General features: G+C 33.3%; 1 protein-coding gene and 1 pseudogene across 5 annotated transcripts in view; one reads left to right on the top strand and one right to left on the bottom strand.

Annotated features, from left to right (window-relative positions):
• Positions 1-26137, top strand: part of OLFM3 (olfactomedin 3) — a 194367-nt gene that overhangs the window by 99341 nt on the left and 68889 nt on the right. The gene's annotated exons all lie outside the window — the stretch shown is intronic.
• On the bottom strand, positions 2843-25574 carry DNAJA1P5 (DnaJ heat shock protein family (Hsp40) member A1 pseudogene 5; annotated as a pseudogene). Its single transcript, NR_033424.2, has 2 exons — positions 25481-25574; positions 2843-4529 (listed from the first exon to the last, which is right to left on the bottom strand). The product of NR_033424.2 is annotated as a DnaJ heat shock protein family (Hsp40) member A1 pseudogene 5 (transcript).

Raw genomic sequence — 26137 nt, 5'->3', positions numbered from 1 at the left:
TTAAAAAATATGCACTCTAGTACCATTAATTTACACTGTTTTTCACTCTTATGTTCACTTGAGGGCTATACTAGTAACTTCTCAAGAGAGTAAATAGAGATCATTATAATTTGGCATTCACAACCTAAAATTAGGGAGTAGCGTTCACTTAGCATTGCAATTTAGTGTTCTCCTGCCATGTAAAACTTAACCATTTTACAAAGCTCATTGTATACATACTAGAATTGTCGGAATTCTAGTAAGTTTTAGAAAGAATATTTTGTTATAAGTACAGTATAATTGCTGTCTTGTGTTAGTAATGGTATCTATTTTAAAATATTTTATAGGCATTTATTTATTTTTAGCATAGAGATAGTATTAATTTTGAATATGTATAATTCCTGCATAAACATTTGATTTCTTTCAATATTTTTCTTATCACAGATTACTTTTCTACAGGTAGTTGGTACATATGAAACACACACACACCTGCAGTTACAAAATGTGGAGAAATTATCTAGATCAGGATTTCCACATTAGCACTTATGGACATCCTAAGCTCTATGAATACATTCTGGAAGGTTCTATGACAGATGTTAAGTTTTGTGTTCTGTATTTCAAAGATAAGCGCAAAGGGAATTAATCCACTCGTGTTCTGGATCATTTTGTGAGCATCTTTTCTCCTAAGAATTTTGTTGTTTGCAATTACTTGTTGTTTTCTACTGCATTTGTTCTGAGTGAGAGTCAAATGAAGCCAAGGAATGATATAAAACAAAAGTTATGCATCAGTTCAGATAGAAAAGAGATCAGAGAATGGAAATATTGTATGGGTTAAGAGTGTATAAGCAGGAGGCCGAGGCGGGCGGATCACAAGGTCAGGAGATCGAGACCACGGTGAAACCCCGTCTCTACTAAAAAAAAAAAAAAAAAAAAAAATACAAAAAATCAGCCGGGCGTGGTGGCCGGCGCCTGTAGTCCCAGCTACTGGGGAGGCTGAGGCAGGAGAATGGCGTGAACCGGAGAGGCGGAGTTTGCAGTGAGCCGAGATCGCGCCACTGCACTTCAGCCTGGGTGACAGAGCAAGACTCCGTCTCAAAAAAAAAAAAAAAAAAAAAAAAGTGTGTAAGCATGCTAAATTGAAAAATAAAAACGTCCTGCACAACTGCAGTAAATATCATGTTCAAATTGTGAGTGCACGAACTGTGTCCACTCTTAGAACGTATCAGCTTACTGCAGTTTTTAGTAACAAGTGCCATGGCAAATGTGCATAATAACTGAATGACTTTCACAGTGATTCAAGGACGACACAACATTCTTAATATTAAAAGATAAAATCAATAGCAACTGAAAATTAAAAGGTGCTAATACAGCTTCATATTATTAAACACAACCTGGTCAGTTTAAATTCAGGAAAGCAGGTGCATGTGCCATGTTAATGTTATTTAAATTGTATTATTTAACTGGAACTTTCTGGCATTTTTACTACGTAAAGTAAAATGAATAATAAATTTATTCCTAATCTTTATAAATTATTGTTGCATATCTTTGTACGTGTATATTTTATTACATAAATCGATATAAGCAAATACTATGCATACTTTTATTATTATTATTATTATTATTATTATTATTATTACCTATGTTTTAAATGGATTATTTGGTAACTCTTGCATGAGAAATCCTGCTCTAGGCTTTAAAACTTTTCAAATAAAAACCAGAGTAAGTAATAAAAGTAATATATTTACCACAAGCATATACATACACATTCATACAAACACTGAAAATTTTGCAAGTTTTTCATTTGCAGTGTAACATAAAAATTATAAAGTTCAATCTGATGTATTTTATTCTCTTCCATTTCAATTATAAATCTGTTCATAGCCCATTGAATTAATTGAACAGCCTAATAGTAGTGAAGCCACACAATTTGTAAACCACTGCTTGGGAGATCTTGCCAAACAGTTCAACAGTCTTCACAGGCTATCTTGACATGGATCAAAGGTCCAAAAATGGGTTAAATAGAAGACTGAAGTTTCAACAGTAGAAAAGGAAATTGTTAAAAGCTCTCATTAATGTACAGGATTAATATAAAATTCATGGAAAATGATTAATGAAGCATGGAATTTAGGTGTATTTTAATGTAATCAAATGTGAGTGAGTGTGTGTGTGTGTGTGTGTGTGTGTGTGTGTGTGTATTCTTGAGCTTTACCAAGGTAGAATAGCACATAAGTCTAAGGTCAAAATCCTAGCTTAAGAGTAATTTTGTCAGAGTGTGCTGATACGCATAACTTATCTCTAGCAACAGAGGTAAGTGGAGGTTTGGGATTCTAGTAGAGTGGAACAGAAAAAAGACAATGAATTGTAAATAAATAAGCAAATAGAGGAATTTAGTCCAAAACAGTGGTAAAACTGATGGAGAAATAAGTCCCATTGTGGTTAGAAATAAAGGTTATACAGCATGTACAAGGGCATAATTACTCTTAGAAAGGGTTTAAAAATAAAGATGTTAAACCTAAGCCCATTTGTCTTATTCAGTCACTCCAATTCCAGCTGGCCTGAAAGTAAGCAGGGTGTTTACATTTATGAGTATTGTATTCATTCTGTTTATACAAAGTAAACAGCTCATTACTGGGATCATGTCCCCTGTATCCTGAGTGTTGTGAACCAAAGAAATCTCTCAGGTGTTTCCATGCCACAAATAACATGTTTAAGCTCCATGTAGGGAAAATATTTCCAAACATGCTACTGGAAAGCTTAAAGAAGGAACCTGTCCTTTCCATATATATAATTTGTGTAAAGATGCTTAAAGTTACACAGTTATAGAATGAATTGTTTAAATTACTGAAATACAATTACAATCTGTATTAGTGTTCCCTTTATTGGACTTTGAAACACATTTAAAATAAAATTTAAGAGGAAAAATTACATATGACATAAAGACAAATAGTAAAATAGGCATTCATTATGCCAAATACTCTATTTCTCTTTAAAACTGGAAATATTAAATGACATGGTCTTAAAAAGTGTAATTCCCTCTGAGTTTATGTAAAAGAAAATAAATAAAATAAGTAAAAGTCAATCTACTGGAAAATAAAATTATTCTTAGGGTTTAAATTATCTGGATTAAATAGCCCCACTGATTTACTAAATGAGATAATTTAGGTATCTACCGTTTTATGAATCTCAGTATATATTTAATATCTCAAAAGAGATTGTTTTATAAAATATCAGATAATAATCAGCAATAATCACTTCTGATATCTCACTAATAGAGCACTTTGTATTTCTGGTTCTCTGTGTTATACCTTCTATTAACTTACTCTGGAAACCAAATTTAAAACTATTTGTTGCCAAAGTGGAGAGAGGTTTGTTGGCCATGCTCATCCTTGTCAACTTTTAAAAAAATTGTATTTATTCTTCCTTTAATTTTTAAAACACTACTCTAGTTGAATAGTAAAACCAAAACAATAGCAAGTAGTGAGCATATTAGGATTACAGTCCTTTGCTCATTCACTACTGCCCATAAAATGCCAGCAGCGAGTATTATCACTGGTCCCATTAAGATGTTTGACACTGAACACCTCTGAAATGATGTTTATCATCCTCATGCTTTTCCATTGTAATGGTCCCACATTTGCTTCTGCACTGTAGTGGCATCAGCATCATCTTTCCTGATTTGAATCAAAGTCCACAAATTCTACTTGATTCATCTCATCAGTCTCTTCTACTTCTTTACTCTTTTGTAGGAGTTTTTCCAGCAAGGAGTTTGTCAAAAAAGGGAAAGCCATTATCAAGAAAGTTTACCTTAAATTCAATGATTAAGTGACTCTTCATGTGGTCTACAATAAATTGGCCTGCCTTCATTTAACACATGCTTGATGGCTCCATGCTTGACAGTTTGACCTGGATGAGAGATGATGACTATGGTTCAGTTGTCAAGAGTGGATATTGGTTTTCAGAAGCCATGCAATACTACAACCAGCTGTATATCCATACATATGAAAAGGTCTTTTCTTTGTCAAGTAAAAACAGCATGGTCCTTCTGATCTAATGCAATGATAATATCTCCTGGCTCCAGTCCTGGTTTTTGGTCTCTTTCATCATGAGATGTTATTTTCTGGCCATCTTTCATGCTTTTGTCAATATGAATTTCTAGAATCGTCTTCTCCCAAAACTATCTTCTTTCTGTTGCAGCTTTTACATCTATCTTGAGGACTGATCTGTTCCCCATGGCCCTGGGTCTCCATGCACACAGCTTGAATTTGCTGAGCTATTCCGGGTTCTATCTGATGAATTCTTATTTGCATTCCAATACCTTGGCAATTATGACAGCACTGTACTGTTCCTTTTTTTTTTCCCCACCTCTGTCTTCACACCTGTCACAAAGCACATTATTTTGCAGAGCCTGTTTTCTTGTTGCAGCATCATATAAATCTTCTAAGGTTACTGAGAGCTGGTGTACAACACTTTTACATTTCCTTTTACTCTGCATCCTTCCTCCTCTTCAGAAACCAAAAATTGGCTCACAGGTGCATTAAAAATCCTTTCACCTATAAGAGACATCAAAGATTCAGGAACTGAGGTTGATTAGAATGAATAAATGAATGAATGTAAATGTTACCATACAATCTACTTGAAAAAATTCAAATCTTACTTTTCCTGTTACCCTTCACCAAAAATAGTAAGAGGAAAAATTATAGCAAAGTATGAATAAAGTTAGCTTTTGTTCCTTGAATAGGTAAAGGTTGAATAGAGAGGACAAACACTTGTTTATAAACACATTCTCTTTTGGAAAGAGCCTGTTTGCCAGCCCCTGTGGATTTCTTTGCCCAGGCTACGATAATGCTTACAGTAAAGAAGAAAAGAAGAGTTGGGCATCAGCCACAATGGTGGCTAAACTTTGAATTCAATGCAAATTTTTCACCATTTTTAAAGTAAGAGTAAGGAAAATCATGTAGTTTCTTTAATAGCCTTGGACATTAAAATGAAAAGGACAAAGAAAAGGGAGGGAAAGGGTGGCAATGGGAGAGGAGGAAGGAGGAGAAAAGAGAAGCAAACATATTGTAAATCAAATTGTTTAATTTTTAAAAATTTGTTAAAGAGTGACCATATTTTTCTACTAAGATTTAATTTTTGTAAAAGGAATTAGGAAAAGTATGTTTGTTAGATACATGCGCAAATCTCAAAGACTGCTCTTCAGTTGTTGCTGCTCATAAGCTTCTATAGATGAAGTCTTTGTATAGAAGCTTAAATTTGACTGGCTGTCTGCTGGGGTCTCTTATATTCACCAGCTTGTTGTTAGAAGGGTTTATGGAGAATACAAAAGCTTTATTATCTCCCCAGGCTGCTCTAGTCATTCTGATACCGAACTGAGACTAGAACCAGTACAATACATCTCTTGCTTGGCACACCTGTATAGTGTTAACAGGAAAAATAAATTGCAGAATCATTTATTAACAAAATTGATAGAGTCTCACACAGGGCAGAGTTTCATCTCATTCTTGTCTAGCAGGGCCACAGAAAATATGAAGCTTGAACTAATAAAGAACTTCAAGCTTTATACAATTAAGTTTACACATTAAAAAATTTAAAATGTTGTCTTCAGTATGCCTAATTCTACAATCCGTAGTGTACCTAAAGACGAATTTAAGATCTGGGGAGAACTAAGTATTAGGTAAATGCATATCAAATTGGCCATGTTCAACATTTATATTTTTTAAAAATGGCAATTCCATATGGTTCTAACAAACACATAGTGAAATATAACTACATTTTATGATTTTCATGGTAAATAATGTCCATGTTAAACCTGAAATTTTAAACATCAGTAGTGAATATTAAATGTAGATAGCTTTGCATATACACATTGGAGATTTGGCCACTAACATTTATTTTCTTTAATAGCTAAGCACCATGCTTGTCTACAAAAAATGAATTGACATTACTGTAGATAATCTAATGCATATAATTACTAGTTTTTAATGTTTATTACATTATGAAACATTCAGTGGGCTTTTGAACCTAAGGGAAAAAAAAATCCATCAAAAATGAGAGGATGGTCCAAATTTTAAGAAAACAAACAAAACCATGCTTCTTATGAGTAATAGTGATCAGCAGCTCATCAATATTTTTTTATTCCTCTAGTGCTTACGTTTTATTTTTATTGCTTTTATTTTAATATTCATATAGTAATAACTAGCATGTTATTCATATAGTATCTACCTCCCTTATCTGGAATACTTGACAAAGTACGCTATTATTTCTTTCAAAACTACTGACCATTTTAAATTTCCTCCTGAATCTCTGCAAAATATTTAAATTGCTATGCTTAACCCAAGCCACTGTTTATTTTTTATACTAAGTTAATGATTCATGGGATGGATTAACTAGTGCAAATTTAAAATCTCTAGCTAAATCCTTCCAAACTCTGAGACCTGAGTGGAAGAAATATTCTTTTGCACCAAGAACAGTCTACAGGGTGCTGACGTTAGTTCAACCAAAATAATTAGAAAGATAAATTTGCTAAATCACTGTGAAAACTAATGTATTACTAATAATGTACTGGAAAAGAGGCTGTTTCATTAAATTGAATTCCCAGATTATCTAAATATTTGGTTAGGCTATATTGCATAAGGCATGAAAGACTATGGTCTCTGCGGAAAAGTGGAAATATTTGCTGTCTGAAGGCAAATTTTTTTCCAACAGTGTTAATTCATTCTGTTGTCTTCAATTTGCTGAACTATTACCTCTTTTTATTAGTACTCAAATCTTCCCAAATTATTTCTTGAATTTCATTTTTATAATTATTTAAGCAATGAATCAAGTAGTTCTTTTTTCATTGAGTTTTAGAATTCAGGATATTCATTATATTCAGTACTACTTCATGGAGTCGTTTTTGTTTGTTTAATTTTGTTTTATGCATAATGAACTTGGTGAATAAGCATGTGAAATAATTAATTTTATGCAGATATCAGAAACAAAGTTTTACCTTAATTAGAAGGATAATCAACTAATCCCTTTTTAAAGAATTCACAAAATTCCTGACTCATTGTGATATTTTCATGTTGGCTCTGATATATTCTTTGGGAGAATTAGAAAACCAATGACACTTATAAAAATTTCAGAAATTATAGAAAAGTCTAAAAAGTAAAATGAAACTAATATCACTCCTTGTCCTGGCAAGATTTCCTCACAATAGTTTTCTTCTAGATTGTTTTCCTCTTTCTGTGTGTATGTGTGTGTGTGTGTGTGTCTATAGGCATAATTGTGTTTTAAGGTTGTTCGTATTATTACTTGTACACAAAGATTATCTTCCTTTTTTCATTTTATACTACATCCAAGTATTTTCCAAGATTAGTAGCTATTTTCCAAGATCATTAAAAGCTCTTTGAAAGACATAATTTTAACATGAACAATTATCATATTTTCCAAGATCATTAAAACTATTTTCCAATATCATTTTCCAAGATCATTATGTTCCAAGATCATTAAAAGCTATTATTTTCCAAGATCATTAAAAGGTCTTTGAAAGACATACTTTTGATGTGAACAAGTGTCATATTTAAGACTTCAACCTGATTTACTTAATCAGTTCCCTGTGGCTGAATTTTTTGGGTATTTTCAACTTAGTCAATTTATATAATATGGATTACAATATTTGTTCTCCACTCTTTTCTGACTTTTTTATCATTTCCTTAAGACGACTTCTGAGAAGTAGAATTATAGGTTCAAATGATATGAGAAATAAGATATTTAAAAGTAGAAAAATAATATATTTAAATATGGCAAATATATGTAGAATAAACGTAACCATCTTTAACTCCTTTTAATCTTTTACCTCTTAGTCAAATACTGCTAAGTTTTATGTACATTTTTATATATGTTATCTATGCTAGATCAGTATATCCAAATATACAAATTTATTACATGCACTTTTTTATTTTATGATTTTTATTATTATACTTTAAGTTCTAGGGTACATGTGCACAACGTGTAGGTTTGTTACATATGTATACATGTGCTATGTTGGTGTGCTGCACCCATTGACTCATCATTTACATTAGATACATCTCCTAAGGCTATCCCTCCCCCCTTGACCCACTCCACAACAGGCCCTGGTGTGTGATGTTACCCACCCTGTGTCCACGTGTTCTCATTGTTCAATTCCCACCTATAAATGAAAACATGCGGTGTTTCGCTTTCTGTCCTTTCAATAGTTTGCTCAGAATGATGGCTTCCAGCTTCATTCATGTCCCTACAAAGGACATGAACTCATCCTTTTTTATGGATGCATAGTATTCCATGGTTTATATGTGCCACATTTTCTTAATCCAGTCTGTCATTGAGGGACATTTGAGTTGGTTCCAAGTCTTTGCTATTGTGAATAGTGCTGCAATAAACATACGTGTGCATGTGTCTTTATAGCAGCATGATTTATAATCCTTTGGGTGTATACCCAGTAATGGGATGGCTGGGTCAAATGGTATTTCTAGTTCTAGATCCTTGAGGAATCGCCACACTGTCTTCCACAATGGTTGAACTAGTTTAGAGTCCCACCAACAGTGAAAAAGTGTTCCTATTTCTCCACATCCTCTCCAGCACTTGTTGTTTCCTGACTTTTTAATGATCGCCATTCTAACTGGTGTGAGATGATATCTCATTGTGGTTTTGATTTGCATTTCTTTGATGGCCAGTGATGATGAGCATTTTTTCATGTGTCTGTTGGCTGCATAAATGTCTTCTTTTGAGAAGTGTCTGTTCATATCCTTTGCCCACTTTTTGATGGGGTTGTTTGATTTTTTTCTTGCAAATTTGTTTAAGTCCTTTGTAGATTCTGGATATTAGCCCTTTGTCAGATGGGTAGATTGCAAAAATTTTCTCCCATTCTGTAGGTTGCCTGTTCACTCTGATGGTAGTTTCTTTTGCTGTGCAGAAGCTCTTTAGTTTAATTAGATCCCGTTTGTCAATTTTGGCTTTTGTTGCCATTGCTTTTGGTGTTTTAGTCATGAAGTCCTTGCCCATGCCTATGTCCTGAATGGAATGGCCTAGGTTTTCTTCTAGGGTTTTTATGGTTTTAGATCTAATATTTAAGTCTGGAATCCATCTTGAATTAATTTTTGTATAAGGTGTAAGGAAGGGATCCAGTTTCAGCTTTCTACATATGCCTAGCCAGTTTTCCCAGCACCATTTATTAAATAGGGAATCCTTTCCCCACTTCTTGTTTTTGTCAAGTTTGTCAAAGATCAGATGGTTGTAGATGTGTGATGTTATTTCTGAGGGCTCTGTTCTGTTCCATTGGTCTATATCTCTCTTTTGGTACCAGTACCATGCTGTTTTGGATACTGTAGCCTTGTAGCATAGTTTGAAGTCAGGTAGTGTGATGCCTCCAGCTTTGTTCTTTTTGCTTAGGATTGTCTTGGCAATGCAGGCTCTCTTTTGGTTCTATATGAACTTTAAAGTAGTTTTTTCCAATTCTGTGAAGAAAGTCATTGGAAGCTTGATAGGGATGGCATTGAATCTGTAAATTACCTTGGGCAGTAAAAATGAATCATGCCATAATTACTTCACATTTAATTTTTCCCATTTAACAATATAAGTATTTTTCCAAGTCAATAATTATAAATGAAACACACATGTTAATAGCTGCATACTATAATACTACACAATTTGAATATATGCTTTTTTATTTAACAATTCTTATTGATTGGCATTTATGTTTTTTCAAACAATGCAAATGTAAGCATGAGATATATATCCACATATACTGATGCTTTTTTTTTTCTGTATAATGTGCTCAGCTGTGGGATTTGTAGAATTTTAACAGACAATTTTAAGGTTGTTTATATTACTTATACACAAAGATTATCCTCTTTTCACTTTATACTACATTGTAACTATTTTGGAAAATAAGTATTTACCAAGATGATTTTATTTTGGAAAGTAAGTATTTTCCAAGATGATTATATTACTACTTGGACACAAAGTACAATAATACTGAATTTAGAAAAGATTTTAGCAATCAAGTTGCATAACAGACTGCCTGTTCCCTGTATGAAACTGAATTAAGAGATGTCCTAGACATTATTGACCTTAAGATCTTACTGGAAAAAATTCTCTTAAGGAGAATTTCTTTCAAATTTTATTCTTCCTATTAATGATTTTAAATATGTTATATGTTCATTTCTAATTTTCATTTCTTATTCCATAAATTGCATTTCCATATTTTATTGGTTTGCCATTTTATTATAAATATCTAGGAGCTCTTTAATATTAAACATTCTTAACATTTTTTCTGTCATAGGTATACAATTATTTTCTTTCAAATATTTGTTCTTTTATTCTGTTTATTATGCTTTCTGCCACAATAAAGTTTTTTTTTCCATTCATGGAGTCAACTCTTTAAATTTTTTGATTCATGGCTTTTTGTTTCTTGATATTTGTATAACCTCACTCACCAGGAGGTTATACAAATATTTCACCTGTATCTATATTTTATGCATTATAATTTATTTAAAAAAACAAAATTTTCTCCAGCTAATTTGAAAAAATGGTCTAAATTAACTTATTACAGAGTATTAGCTAATTGTTCTAATAGCAAATACTAAAATATCCATTAATTCCCCTCAAGATTTTTCAAGAGAAGAAATTATATAACTGAGGGTAGTCCATAGGAGGAAAGTATGATGTTTTATTTACCTTATTATACCCAGAGCCTGTCATAGGAGATGACTTTTAATAAATGTTTAATGAATAAATTGGAAAGAATCAACAAGGAGAAAATATGGTCTCATTAGTAATCTGGTAAAGGAGTGTGTTCCAATAATCTATTGCTGTGCAACAAACCCAAAATTTAGTGTCTTCATATGGTGATGTTTTAATTGTCTGTCTCACACCTCTGTGGGTTGGTGGGCCTCAGCTACGTGGTTTCATTTGGAGGTCTTTCATGCAACCGCAGTCAGATAACACCTGGAGTCGTCTTAACTAGTGTCCCCACTCACGTGTCTGATGTTCTAGCTGGAATGGCTGCAGTAGCCAGGGGCTGGTTCCCCCAAGCTAACATGCTATGCCTTGGATCCTGATTCTTCCCCCTCCAGTCTCATTTCACTTTTTTCCTTTGCTTTGTGACTGAACTATATGAGAAACATCACCACTTTATTTTATGTACATACAAAATTATCACCCTCCACCTACCTACCAGCCGGCCTCCTCCCTTCCCAAGACTTTTATGTATCATTGCATAATGTCTGAGCAAAAGTTGTGCTGCACTTCTACAAAATGAACAACTTAAAATTAAGTATTAGTTAACTTAAGTCTTTCCACTTTTCTATTATTTTTTTTTTCCATACCATGTATGTTTTCTCCTCCCTTGCCTCTGTTTTCTTACACATTTCAAATCTTGGGTGGTTGTGGGGAGAGGGTGCAACCTTCTCATTTTTGCATGAACTCAAAAGGAAAAACTCAAAATTTTTTTAAAAGACAAACACCTTTGTTTTTGTATGTACTCCCTCTTGCCCATATTCCAAATTAAGCTCAAGCTTGAATACTCAAAAATTCAACTGAAGGTTTTATATCACTTATTATAAGATATTAATTGAGTGTTTACACACTTCTTCCTTTGTCACTAATATCTATACATGTACACTGGACCCTTGAACAATGAGAGGCTTAGGGGTGCTGACGCCCTGTGCAGTCAAAAATCCATGTATAACTTTTGATTCCCCTAAACTTAACTACTAATAGCCTGCTGTTGACTGGAAGATGTACCAATAGCATAAAGCATTGATTGGCACATTAGCCTGTTGTTGACTGGAAGATGTACCAATAGCATAAAGAGTTAATTGACACACATTTTGTGGTTATGTGTATCATATACTGTATTTGTATGACAAAGTAAGCTGGAGAAAAGAAAATGTTATTAAGAAAATCATAGAAAAGAGAAAATTTATTTACTATCCATTAGATGAAAGTGAATCGTTATAAAAGTCTTCATCCTCATTATCTTCACATTGATTAGGCTGAGAAGAAGGAAGAGAAGGGGCTGTTCTTGCTGTCTCCATGACAGAGGCAGAAGAGGTGAAGGAGATGGAAGGAGAGAAAGGAGAGGCAGGCACTCTCCATGTACCTTTATGGAAATACATCATAATTTCTTTCTAACTTTTGCTTTTTCATTTATCTAAAAATATTTCCATATGGTACCAATCCTTTTTCCATCATTTGCTTTATTTCAGTGCTCGTATCATAGAAGGGACCATGTCATAAAAAGCAAAGGAATTCTTGAATAATCAGATACTTTCTGTTTTCTGGCACTGGTTTGGAAGCTCCCATCTCCATAAAGTCATCTTCTGTTAATTCTTGTGGTGTGGTGTCTATTAGCTCTTGAATTTCTACAAAATCTATATCTGAAAACCCTTTATTCGCCACCTTTTTTTGCCATATCCACAATCTCTTTCATAGTTTTCTTGGCTGGCTCTGTTGTAAATCCTGTGAAGACATGTGCAACATCTGGATAGTTTTCTCCAGCAGGAATCTGATGGCTTCCGTGGCTTTCATGGATTTTTCTATAAGAACAATGACATCTTCAATGGACTTTCCTGGTGTTCTGTCTATTGGGGTTCTCTTTCACAGCATTGAAAATACTTCCCATAGAGTAACATGTGTAATGAGCCTTATAGGTTCTTATGACCTTCTCATCTACAGGCTGAATTAGAAACGTGTGTTTCAGGGCAAGTAGAACACTTTGAGGTCTTTGGTATTGAACTCATGGGGTTGCGGGTGGCCAGGGGCATTGTGCAATATCAAAAGAACTTTAAAAGGCAAGCCCTTACTAACAATGTACTTCCTGACTTCAGGGACAAAGCATCAATGGAACCATTCCAGAAAAAGGATTCTCATTGTCCAGGCCTTCTTATTGTACAACCAAAAGACTGGCAGCTGGTATTTATCTTTTCCTTTCAAGGCTTTAATAGGGCAGTCCTGATTATAAATTGACTGCATTTGCACAAAATATTACAGTTAGCCTATTACTTTCTGTCTTAAATCCTGGTGCTCGCCTCTCTTCCTTACTAATAAATGTCCCTTGTGGCATTTTTTGTCTGTTTTTTTTTGTTTGTTTGTTTTTGTTTTTGTTTTTCAGAATAGGGCACTTATCCCTGCATTAAAAACAGGTTCAGAAAGGTGTCCTTTTTTCTCAACAATTTTCTTAATGGTGCCTGGGAACTTATCTGCTGCCTCTTGGTTAACAGAGGTTGCTTCTCCTGTTATCTTGACATTTTTAAAGTCAATCTCTTTGGGAAAACATTAAACCATCCTTTGCTGGCACTAAATTATCCAGCTTTAGATTCCTCACCTTCGTATTACTTTAAATTCTCATATAATGACTTTTCTTTTTTATAAAACATATTAAACATGAAAAAAGTAAAGAGGGAAATGCCAAGGGGAGCAGGAAAATAGAGAGGATGTTGGGAGAGGTCTGGGGCTCCAGAAAGTCCATAGAAGGGGCTGGAAAACAGATGATCTAAGAAGTCAAGGAAGGTGCAGATTCTTCTAGATCATTGATGGTGCTGTGAACAAATGTTGATAAATAAACCTAAACATTCTTTCTTATTTTTAAGACTCTTGGTGATAGTGGCTTAAAAGATGAGAATCAATACAGACCAGGATTAAAAAAAAAAGATAGTAAGTTTTTTATTTCCATTTGTAAGGCCAGATGGAACCCGCTGTCTTGTCCTTTACTCTTAATGTTTCTTATCTAAATATTATGAATGTCATGGATGTATTTAACTCTGAAGCTGTTTGTCTTTTACACATGTAACCTGTAACTCTAAAAGTATACGTTCTTGAGAATACAAAAATGCAATTATATGTATGTAAGTAGATATAATAATTATTGTTAATTGCGTGTCACTTCTTTTTCATATTATTCTGGCAAAAAAAGAGAAAGACAGGTAATTATACTAAAATTGATATTGTTCCCAGGTGGAAAAGCCAAGTAACTAGAACATGCTTTAGGAAGGTGATGCAGTGAAAGACATAATTGGACATTATCAAGGACATTAAGGGTATGTCACAGACACACATTGGTAAGGAAGGAACGGATTCTGAAATATACAATAGGAGGTACTCCTCCTACCACTTGGGGAGCTTATACCACAGTGGAATAAGAAATGGCTTGAAATATTTTATGACTATATTATTTTATTTGGAAGTAGAAATCTGAATTTCTACATTTTTGAATTGTATATGTGTATATATGTGTGTGTGTGTGTATATATAGAGTATATAAATTGTATATATGTGTGTATATATATTATATATAGTATATATATAACTGTAAATATAAGCAGACAAATATTCAGGTTTGATCTTAACAAGGATCCTCCAGGAGTCAAGCTAAAAACATTGATTTTTTTAAAACTGTAATACTGGTTACCTTCATCTTCTATTTCACTGGAAAGATGACAGCTACCTGGGACAGTTTTGCAGAGTAAGATTGGCTGATAGAAGTAACCTTAGGCTCACTTGATCTTCACTGGTCACGTCTTAGTTCCTTCCTGTCTTCACTCAAGAAGGTCTTTGGTAAAGAGACCACTACCCAAAGCCTTGAACTAAGGAACTATGCCCAGAGACATTCTGACTAGATTCTTTGGGGTAAGTAGATATGAAAGATAAAATTGTCAAATGGGAGACAATTTTATTTTTCATGTCTACTTTAACCTTACTGTTGTTACTGTAAAACAGGTGATCAGGCTCCTTCTCAGGAGACCGGACTTCATAAAACACCAGATGATTTCCTGGACTTCACCATCCTTGGCAGCTGTCCCTGCCTTGTTGAGGTTGGTCAAATCTTCATAGGTTTGCTCACTACTGGCAATTACATCTGGGGCAGTGTCATCTGGTACTGCCCAAGAGTCTATCTAGATTGTGGTCTTCTGCACCAAAATGAAGCAGATGTCAAACTTATAGCAACCATCTCTCACTTTACCTTCTCATGCCCTGTCATGCTTACATCAGTGTTGTCCCGGTAGAAAAAGCAGTTCTCCAGATTCCAGGAGTTCTCAGGGATCCAGATCAATACTATCTTATAGGCAGCCCTGGCTGCAGGATTGGCAACCTATACTGAGTTGGGTTTGCATAGACATGAAAGATGGCTTAGTTAAAGATTTGCCTGGTAATTTTTAGTCACCCTAATCCAATATATATGGATATTCTATATATGATTATATAACAATATCAGAACTGGCAGAATTCTTTTAATCTTTATATATATATATATATATTATATATATATATATGCACTTATATTAAGGGTAGAAATAACATAGTGTTGTTTTGTTGATTTTGACATACATAAATTTTTGGATATAACATTTTTGAAAATTTGATTGTTATATAGTCAATACTTATGTAGTTTTCCAAAACACCATTAATCTTCATTTTAATGTCGCATCTTATACTCAATGGTATTTTAAAATCAAATGAATGTCGTGTGTGTGTGTGTGTATGTGTGTGTGTCTGTGTATTTCATGACTAAATTTTCTTTTTTTTCTTTTCTAATAAGATTAGATTTATTCAATACCCTAGTAAAAGTTTTGATTATAAGCATCCAACAGTATGAAAAGTACAAAACAGATCTGTAGATTTCTAATATATTAATACAAAGTACATGACTACATACAGTACACCCTACAGGCAAAGAGAGGTGGAAGAGGAAAAAGAAGACTGTGGTTGAGGTCTAGTAATAAATAAATAAAGAAAGAAGTAGAGATGATCCATATTATAGTATATTCTACCACCAATACTGCAGCCAAAATGTAAAAAAAAAAAATCACTTCAAAATAACTCAGGAGGATGACAGTGGCTGGACTTTTGTAATTCGCCTCAAAGACTGTGGGAGAGCCAACTCAACTCACTGTATAGTCTGTGCATATGGTGGCTTGTAGCATGTAGGTTTTTTTCCAAAAGAAGGAAATATAAAATATTTAGATTAAGAACTATAAAACTACAGGGTGCCTATAAAAGGTGGCTTACTCCTTATTGTTATTATACTATCCAATTTTTAAAATGCAGTTTAAAAAATAAGCACTGAGTCTTATTATTATACGGCAGGCAAATGTTTCTCCCTCATTCTGAAAAGACTGAACTGGCAATGCTTTTCCTGAACATTTAGAAAAGAGGCAGTAAGAGTACTCTGGTTTGGGTTCAAGTGAGAGGCTTTTCATGAAGATCTTAGGATTGAAGAGCTCTAAGTTCAGGATATCTCAATGTTCAGAAAGCCTGACTAAAATAAGCCAAACCAAAGCCATTTAATGTGAACACAAACCTCTTTTCTTTTAGTAAATTTTACTTTTAATACAGAGTGAAAGAAAATAAAAACTTAATAGGCTAAAACAAGTCAAACACCCATTCTACACAGATAAAAACCTTCACAAAGGTCAACTGAAGTTATCCAGAGCTGAAACTGAATTGTGCAGATTTTCAATGAAGTCATCAAAGTCATGTAACACAAACAAAAGTTGATTATATTTACACACTCAGCAAGCCCGCTAAGAAATGTGTCCCAAAAAGTATTAACCTTTGTTTTGTGCCATCCTGAAGACTTGCATATTTTATTTTTCAGATAGCTTAACATTTTTAATCGAGTGTGTTCTCTACCATGTGGTAATGCTTTGGTACTATGCATACAGGGTCTCGCCTGTCCTAAAGACTTGCCATTTCCCCAAGAGGAGCTTTGATTCTGCTTTAGAAGTTTTATATGAATTAAAATCTTTATCAAATATTAATATGAAGGGAGGCACAGGATGCAACATATATAGTCAAGTTACCTCTCTGTATATTTAGAAATTACTTTCTCCTCCAAGGTATTTGCAGCAGAAAGCTCAGTCTGTCCTGCTTAATAATCAGTAGTACAGGTTTGAATCATCAGAAGCTTGGCAAGACCTTAATATTTCAAAATTATTAACAACTACCTCTAGGGGCAAGTCCATGTTACTGAGTTATGACAAATTTATTATCATGAGGGAAAACAAGAGTAGCCAGCCATCTTAAAAATGCCCCAACCACGGCTTCTCAATACAGAAAGACTGAAAACTACATACAGTTTATCATACAACAAATCCCATCTCTGTCCCCTGAAATTCCCCTAGTTTCATTCATTAGAAAGGGATTTAAAAAAAAGATTTAAAGAGCACTTTACAGCAGCAGTCAGCTTTCCTATGAAATACTCAGCATCTTAAATATTATGTATAACTCTTTTTTTAGTAAGCTAGACACTGGCTTCAGAGTTTGTGGGACTGGGGGAAATCAACCCATTCAAAACTACTCTAGAAACTGTCTTTTGGCAGAATAGCAGGTATCCAAGTTAAAAATAGGAGGGTCATTTGAGACCAGCCTGGCCAACGTGGTGAAACCCTGTTCATGATGAAATTTTCATTCTCTGTATTTAAAATAAAACTAATTAAATTATGTAGTGTGAATTTTCATGGGGTTCATTTCTAAAGTTGTAATCAGTGAAGAAATAGTTAATCTCTATGTGTTTTTGTCACATGTCTAGACATAATTATTAAAAATTTAGGCAAAAGTACAGAAAAACAGATGGGCTTTCTAATAGTAAAAGGCCTGAATGCTTGTTGTACAGCTGCTCTTTTTATAATCCCAGATTTTAGGAGATGGAGGAAAGAATGTTGTGAGCTTTTTCATCAATTATATGCTATTTTTCTTTACAATAAGAATGCAATTTAAGAGAAACTTTATTTTAGGGTGTTATTTGGCCTCTTACAGATTCATAAAGGAGTGACTACTGATTCAGAATATTTATGAAATTCAGAAAATGCATTTACCAAGTAAACCTTGCATCACTTTTCTTTAAATTAAAATTTACTGAATACAGAATAAAAGATATTTGGTTATTTGCTATTCAGAATTACATTTACCAAAATGGCATTCAATCAATCCATAGCTAAATCTAGGCTTCTATATAAATCCACTTATATTAAGTGAATTAGTAATATTCCAGCCATGTTAAAAGATAGGAATACATGATTTTTGACCCAGACCCAATGTATTGCATCAAAAAAGTAAAACAGCTCATTAACAGTAAGACATATAAAATATGAAACCAATATCAATCAAAATCTTTTACAAACGGAAGGTGAAATGATATAGAGCCCAGCATCAAATAATTTAAGATATAGCAAAGCAGCTGAAACATTGAATTGAGAGAAAATTATTATTGTAAGGAATAATTTCTCATTTATGTGATAGTGGTATGATCAAGAATAAGAAGAACTATAAATACATTTGGAAGTTCAACATTCAAACTATACTGTGTAGTCAGTAGCACATATAAATAATGCCATACAGACATCAAAAGAAAAAAATGTAGTGTTTAGTAAAATCAATCCATGTTTCCTGTGCTTTAAGCAAAAAAATGGATTCTCATTAGCTCTTGACAAAAGGATGATGCCACAATCCACTGAGACTCTGTGGCATCCTCTGAAGAAGTTTCATAGTTTTTCTTTAACTTTGTTAGAATCTCAAAGCTGAGGTGATAATTCAGTTCATTCCAAATTATCCCTTCTCTGCTTCCCTCCCTTGTTGATATTCCTCAGAACTTTCACAAGCATTGGTGGTCAATATGTTACCAAATGTGGTTCAGTTACATATATTTTGCAGCTCATATGATTTCTCTAAGGGGCAGTGATTACTGGTTGTAGTCTGTGATGAGATACACCTAAAAGCTATTTCTATAACTGCTCTCTGCCAACTGAACTATAGCTGATCTGAACTGCGCAAATTTGTACCAAGGCTAATTCTTCATTAGTTTTCAAGGACTGTGGTTGCTTCTGTTTTCTAAAGCTGTCTAGTAAGATTTTCTGCCATCATCATGAGTTGCTTCCTAGAACTCTGTTGCCATTGTTCAAAAGATGGACCCAGAAGATGCATGGCAACTAAGGATGCCACCAGCTCACAGGTAATGGCTTCCCGCATGAGCCCAGGTCAATACTAGAATCTTGTCTCCATTATTTCTACCCCTACTGCTTCCTATAACCACTAATCTCAAGCCAGTGTTAGAGCCTCCGTGCTACAGATGGCATCAGTATTCATCACTGTAGCTGATGTAGAATATAAATTTATCAGCTTATGAAAGTCACCTTCCCTCTGATGTGACCAGTTTAATGGGTGACCCAACATATATGAATGCCTATGTGTTTTGTGGACTCTACATAGTAAGCTTACATCTGCTTCCTCTGGCACTGATGGGGTCCACACAGAGCAGTTTGGAGAAGTTAATTCAGGTGTGCTGCACCATCATTGTCTACCACTCAATATCCAAAAATGAAGCATATGACCATTAACACAACAATGGAGATAAAACAATCTAACCACCATCCCTTTAATTAAAAAAATAGTACCCACACTTCTCTGATAAATGTCTCTAAGACATAAATCCAGCTTTGGGTCTCTCCAAAGATTTTTCCACTTTCAGAGTCTCAAGGTCTTGCATTAAAATGAAAGTCTTAGTGCCCAGGTGTATCTTCTCTAGGACATGCGGGTGAGAAGGCACTTAAATCCCCATTGTGCCTCAAGAGTATGCTCCTGAGGTCCTTTCACTTTGTGAGCTGTATCTAAGGTGATGCCACCAGCCATACATATCCTAAGCCAGTTTTATAAGTATTAAATAGAAAAAAAACTTATCTAGCAAACTCTAAGGGAATCTGAACAGTACTAAGGCTTTATTACAATGATATTAAAGTTACAACTAAGATTTAATAAAAAATATGTTGTATAAATAAAATTTGAAAAAAAAATGCTTCATTAAAGACCAAATATTTAAACACAATGTTAACATCTAAGTGACTTTAAATACTTAGACTAAGGTCATTTTTAATAAGATCGTACATACTAAAATTATTTTTTGCATTTATTTAAAAAAAAAACAGGTTGATAATGAAAGTAACTCAAAACACTAAAAGCCCAAAGTAGGTTTTACCTGTTTATCATTCCCTCTTTCTTCTCCTATTCCAAAATTCTTATGCAACATTGTCTCACAAAAATTAAAATATACAAAAGTAACTTCTGATGATGCTGTTTATTTTATGTAATAGTGTTGTTTTGGAAATATAGCTCATTGAAAAACTGGTTTTTAATATGTAATATCAGTGTCAACAAAATTGGAACATATTTAATCAAAATGAAATTCATGTTCTGGATTTTGATCTCCTGATCTCCAGCTTTTAAAATAGTAGTCAAGGTACAATAACTTGCTGGTATCAAGAAGTCCTTCAGGAATGAGGAGGAAGTAATGGAAAGAGAGGAATCTGGTTATCCTGATATATACTGATGGTGTCACTCTTAAAGCTTTATCATAAATGAACAGCTGGGTTAAAAGTTTCAACTTGCGAATCCAGACTTCTTCAAATGATCAGCAAATTAGAAATAACCATGGTTTGTATCATTTATAGTCAGATATTGCAACTATCTGAATATTTTACAGCATATTTACATACCACTTTATTGTTTACAAAGAAACTTTCATATGTAAGCTCATTTGTTCTTCAAAATGGCTCAGTGAAGGATCCATTCACCAACAAGTATGTTTCAGATATTGTGTGAGTAGGTTGGACTCTCTTCTTCTAGTTGACAAACTGAAATTATAACCCAAGTCAGACACCTAAGAGGGTGACAGAGCTAGATAAGGAATTGAGATATGATGATTGCAAATCTTGTGTCCATCCCACTTTAGGACACTGTCATTTACAAGACAATATGAACACAATTACATGACACAGTGACTTGTTACAACCTATACTAAAACCCTGGAAAAACCATGCAGTCTTCTAAATGATTTTAACATATAGAATTCAGGTAGGGTGATTATTATTAAAAAATAAAAAATGAAGTATAAAAAAGCTTAATAAGCTAGATAAATTACAATATTTAATTTGGAATTTTAATGCTAAAATTATCTCTTATTTGCATACTACTTTATTGTTTACAAATCTATTGTTTATCTCTTATTTTGGTCAGGCTTAAATTTGTTTTTATTCTAAAACAAACAAATACAAACAGAGCTAGAGCTATTAAATTGGCTGCCCTAAATTTCTGAATGTAAGAGTAATTTTTTTAGACATTCTTCATCCCAGAGATATAGAAATGCTTAGTAACAGTAATTTTGTAAAAGCACTTTACAGAGTATAGGTATGTAGTGGCCCAATAGCCATCTTTTCTCTGAGTGCTCGTTGCCTAGGCACTTTTGGACTTGCCGTATGGAGGAGGGAGCTTAAGAAGCCAGCCAACACTTAACACCACTGTCTTCTGGCATTCACCAATTCCCTTTAGTATGGTTTGCACTCTAAGGCTGTTCAGAGCAGGTGGCTCCTGCTGTAAGAAGAGAGTTGTGGGAAGATATCCATGAAATGAATATTTATAAACAATCCCAATCTTCATTTTAAGTATAAGGGAAAAATAAATTTTAAACAGAGAGGTCCTTAGGAATTGCTGATCTAAGGCATCATCTCTTAAATATTTACAACATTCTTATGTTGTGAAATTCTTTAATCTGAAGTACTGTAAATAAATTAAGAGTGCAAAACTGAATCTGCCAGAGAATTCTGATAAATTCTCTTTTAGCATGAGCAAGCCAGTCATTTATGTAAATAGTTTCCTCATTTTTTGTGCAAATTGTTCTTCAAGGAAAGTTAAATCATTTTGTTATTTAACTGAAATCTACTTTGTGACATCCACTTAAATGACAGTGTTGAAGTCTTTCCTTGTAGCTGTTTTAAAACTGTCAGGGCCATTCCAGCAAGATTACTGGAAGTTAGGTATGAGAATTGACATTCTCCAACTCAATTCCATGCATACATATTTTGAGCTCTTGATATGGCTTTGAAATGGAGACAAGTGGTCTGATGACAGACAAAATGGAATATTGGAAATGACACTTTTATAAAGTTCAGCATAGGGACTGTAGATAACCACTTCTTGTATACACATTTTATTTTCTATTTAACTCATCTTATGTCCTAGAATATACATTTTATTTTTTTAATTAACAGACTTTATTTTTTAGAGAAGTTTTAGGTTTACAAAAAAAGAGCGGAAAGTAGTGTTCCTATATCTTCCTTCTATTCCACAGACATGCACATAGTTTCTCCTATTATTTACATCTTGCATTAAGATGGTACCTTTATTAAAATTGATTAGCCAATACTAATTAACATTATACTAACCCATTAACACTAACTAAAAATTAACACTAACTAAACTCCACAGTTCACAGTAGAATTCATGTTGTACATTCTATGGATTTTGGCAAATATATAATGACATATATCCACCATCACAGTATCATATAAAATAGCTTCACTGCTCTAATAGAAATGTATTTTAATTGTTTTTTCAGATTGCTCACTGCCATCTCAGTATTTTTCCTCCCAATCTAGAGGAGATTATCTATTTTAAAATTCTGTTTATACAGAATCATTTAATTTTTCTTCATTAACAGTGAATTTAATTACTTTTTTCATAAACTAATATCTTTCAATGGATTTTAGCCAGGACTATGAGGTCAGAAATAATTCTACTTAATGAAATTGTTAGTTATGAGAGGATTCATAGTCATTGTGACTCAGAGAGTCTAATCCACAAATAAGAGAAGCTGGGATTTAGAATTCTGCAATGACTTTCAGTGTAATGTCTGCTCATTACTTAAATCAGGATGGGAAAATTCCAGCTGGCCAGTTGGAAACTACCTAGCCAGTTGGGGAAGATGAGACTAGATCCATGCCCCTATTTCTTAAAGTTAGATTTGCAGATAATCTGCCTTCTCCTTCCATTCAATACCTCAAACAGTATCACAACACAGAACAACAGATCTAACACTTGAGATAAAATAATACCAGTTATTCTGTGTGACCCTGGGCAAGAATTTTAATGTTTTTGAGCCTCAAACTCCTTACTTAAAAATACTGAATGTGAGTAACAAGTTGACACTTGCCTCAGTATCTGTAATGATCAAATTATTTAGTATATATCAAAATTATATACATAGTACCAGACATTTGACAGATGCTCAATAAATATTTGTCACTGCTGTTACTATTATTATTATTATTATATTATTAGAATTCTTATTATACTGTAAAGATACAGAAAAGAAATTGACCATAGCAACAGCTGACTGCAGTTCAGGCAAAAAATGATCAAGATACATATTAGATCTTCCATTCTTGACATGGATAGCTTTAGCTGTACAGCCAATGTAAATTAGCATTTTAGTGATGGGGACAATGTTCAATTCAACTAATACTCATTGGAATTTCTCCCAGTTTCCCTCTGGGTTAGTTTGACATGTGTCTATTTACTATCTAATGTGAAATCATCCAAAATATAATCAATCTTTGAAAACCACATGGTCAAGAGGCAGAAAAGGTTTTTTCAAAAATCACTATTAATCGTAAAAGTATTATATATTTTAAAAAGTTCCCTAACTATTTTTCCAACTTATAGAATTAGGGGACTACAAAGCTACGATGATTATTCCTGCTCTTAGGCCAGTCTGCTGATAATAAGCCATGTAGGTAAGAGGAAGAAATTAATAACTAAATGTTGAAGCCATATTACATTTTAATAGTCAAAATATTTTCTCTGCTAGATCTTGAAGTTGGAGATTAATTATTTTAATAAATAAAATGTAAATTTTTGGAGAATAACAATAAAAGTCAATATTTATTAGTGTTTAATTGGTCCGGCAAAATTTAAATGATGAGGAAGTATTGCATCATTTAAACCAAACAGTTCTCAGAGTACCATTATTTTCTTCATTCTACACTAGAGAAAACTGAAAAAAGATCTAGTAACTTGACTAAGCTAGAAAATGGTGTGAATAGAATTTGAACACAGGCCATATGGTTAACACTCCTCTGTGCTCAACTATTCTTTTATACTAGGGAAGAACAAATACATTGTAAATAAAAAAAAAATTAAACTCAGATCTACCACATAGTACTCATAACCATGAAAAAGTTGCAATATTTGCACCCCCCACCTGGGCCCCAGCCAGTTACATTTTCCTTAAATTAAAGTCCTATAGGCCTTACAGGGTTGCTGTATTTTGTACAACTTCCACAAATGACTAACATGATAGTATTATAATGTATATGTTTATCTATTTTTAATATAAAAGCTTGCATTTTATTAGCCCATCATTTTATGAGCCTGAATTTCATATATTGAAGACAATTTCCACCATACAAAATAAATTGTGATATATAAAACAGCAAGAATACAATGTTAAATCATTTTTGGGATTTTCTTGAGGCTCTTCTTTCCTGCTTATGTTCTTATAAATGAATATACATATGCAGAAGGAAGAGCAACAAAAGGGAAGCTTGGAAGCAATGTAAAGGGACACGGCACTCTTCTCATGCTCATGTTTTTATTATCACATTCTATGAAGCCATTCAGTTCTTCTTCATGTTTATTCATATTAAGGTAGCTATATTTTATGGTGACATTTTGATAGACTTCATCTTATTTTAGCAATTCACTTAGTTTGTGAAAATGTAAGTTGTATATTCTCAAAATTTTAAGTATTCACTGAAACATAAATTTTCAGCTGATGTCCGCTTTTAAATGTCCTACAATCATGTAATTAAAATTAGGTTGATTTGTTTTTAAAGATTTTAAAATTTAATACCTTTTTTTCCTAAAACTAACTTATTTTTTGCATTGTACCCATTAAGATATAGAGTGCTAGACAATCTTCAATAGAGTTTCTACAGAAGCAAAAATGATAGAACAAGCCTTTTGAAATCTAAAAACTACCAAAATGTTCATCTTCATTACTAAAATATAGTAATTAGATGCAAAATTTTAATCCCCATTTCATGTTGTCTTGTTCGTTGATGCCAAGTTGAGGTTTCATTACAGAATAATTATCATTCATCATCATTTAACTTGGAAAGTCTAACTTCTGAGGAAATGAGATTGAACCAGAACAACTGAGATCTTTCCAGGGAAGCTAGATAAATAGTTTTTACAGACACTGTTTTTAAAAGTTGAAAAGTAAGCTATAATTTTTATTTTGAAAACAAATCCCCTCTAAGGAAAAGTATAGCACTTATTTCAATCAGACATGTATGTATTAAAGCTTCCACTCATCTCTTAATTTTCTCCTATCCAATCAATCCTAAATACCTTTTTAATATACCATTAATCTTTAGCCTTTTTCAGACCTTTAAAAATAAATTTTCTGAACTCTTGCCATAGCCACCTAACTTTACCAGATCTATTCTCCACTCAACCACTTGGGTTTTCTGACTAAATCAAAGAAACAAATAAATTTTCTCATGCCACTACCTTGATAAACACCTTTGCTAACTCCCTGTTGCCAATATGTTGATGCACATATAGCCTATGAGGCTTTCCATCTCTTTTCAACATCTCTGAACTTATCTGTAATCTTCACCTTCCTATGCTTCAAGGACATGAACCTTCTTACCTTCCTCTCAAACACACCAGGTTCTCTGAGCTTCTGCTTTCACTCCTGCAAAACTGCCACCCATTCTTTAACGCTCAACTCAGTTAACACCTCTCTAACATATTTCATAAATCTTTAACTCAAAGTGAGTAGCTGACTTTGTGATCACACAGTAATAATTCATTTTTCTATGACAACGTTCATCATATTATGCACTCATAATGTGACCACTTCTCTCTGTGGTACTTAAGTTCTATCACATAAGTAGCTAAAATACATATGTTTTAAATAATTTTAATGTAAATTCTAGTTTCAGTGTATTTTCAAAGTATATCAATGCATATTTATGTGCATTCTATTTTCAAAGTATTTAATAATATTATAAATCATATTTATATGGTATCAAATATCAAAAATTTTAACTCTTTTGATACAATTTAGATTATAAATATGATTTGTTTGGTTTGGCTTCGATTTTGTTGTGCCTGAGTGACTTATCTATGGAGATGTTTATTGTTAAATTAAAATACATGAAAGTTCTCAACTGTTTTAGGATTTGTGTCTATTTTAGGGTTTGTGTCTATTGATAGTCTGTCAAGCTATCAATTCTTACTGCTGATGATGCATCTTTCTGTGGAAGATGTCAGCTAAACCACTCAATATTTTTACACAATTTAC

This window comes from Homo sapiens, chromosome 1, assembly GCF_000001405.40.
Source record: "Homo sapiens chromosome 1, GRCh38.p14 Primary Assembly".
In the NCBI taxonomy this organism is placed as follows: domain Eukaryota; kingdom Metazoa; phylum Chordata; class Mammalia; order Primates; family Hominidae; genus Homo; species Homo sapiens.
This window is presented reverse-complemented; position numbering and strand designations above follow the sequence as displayed.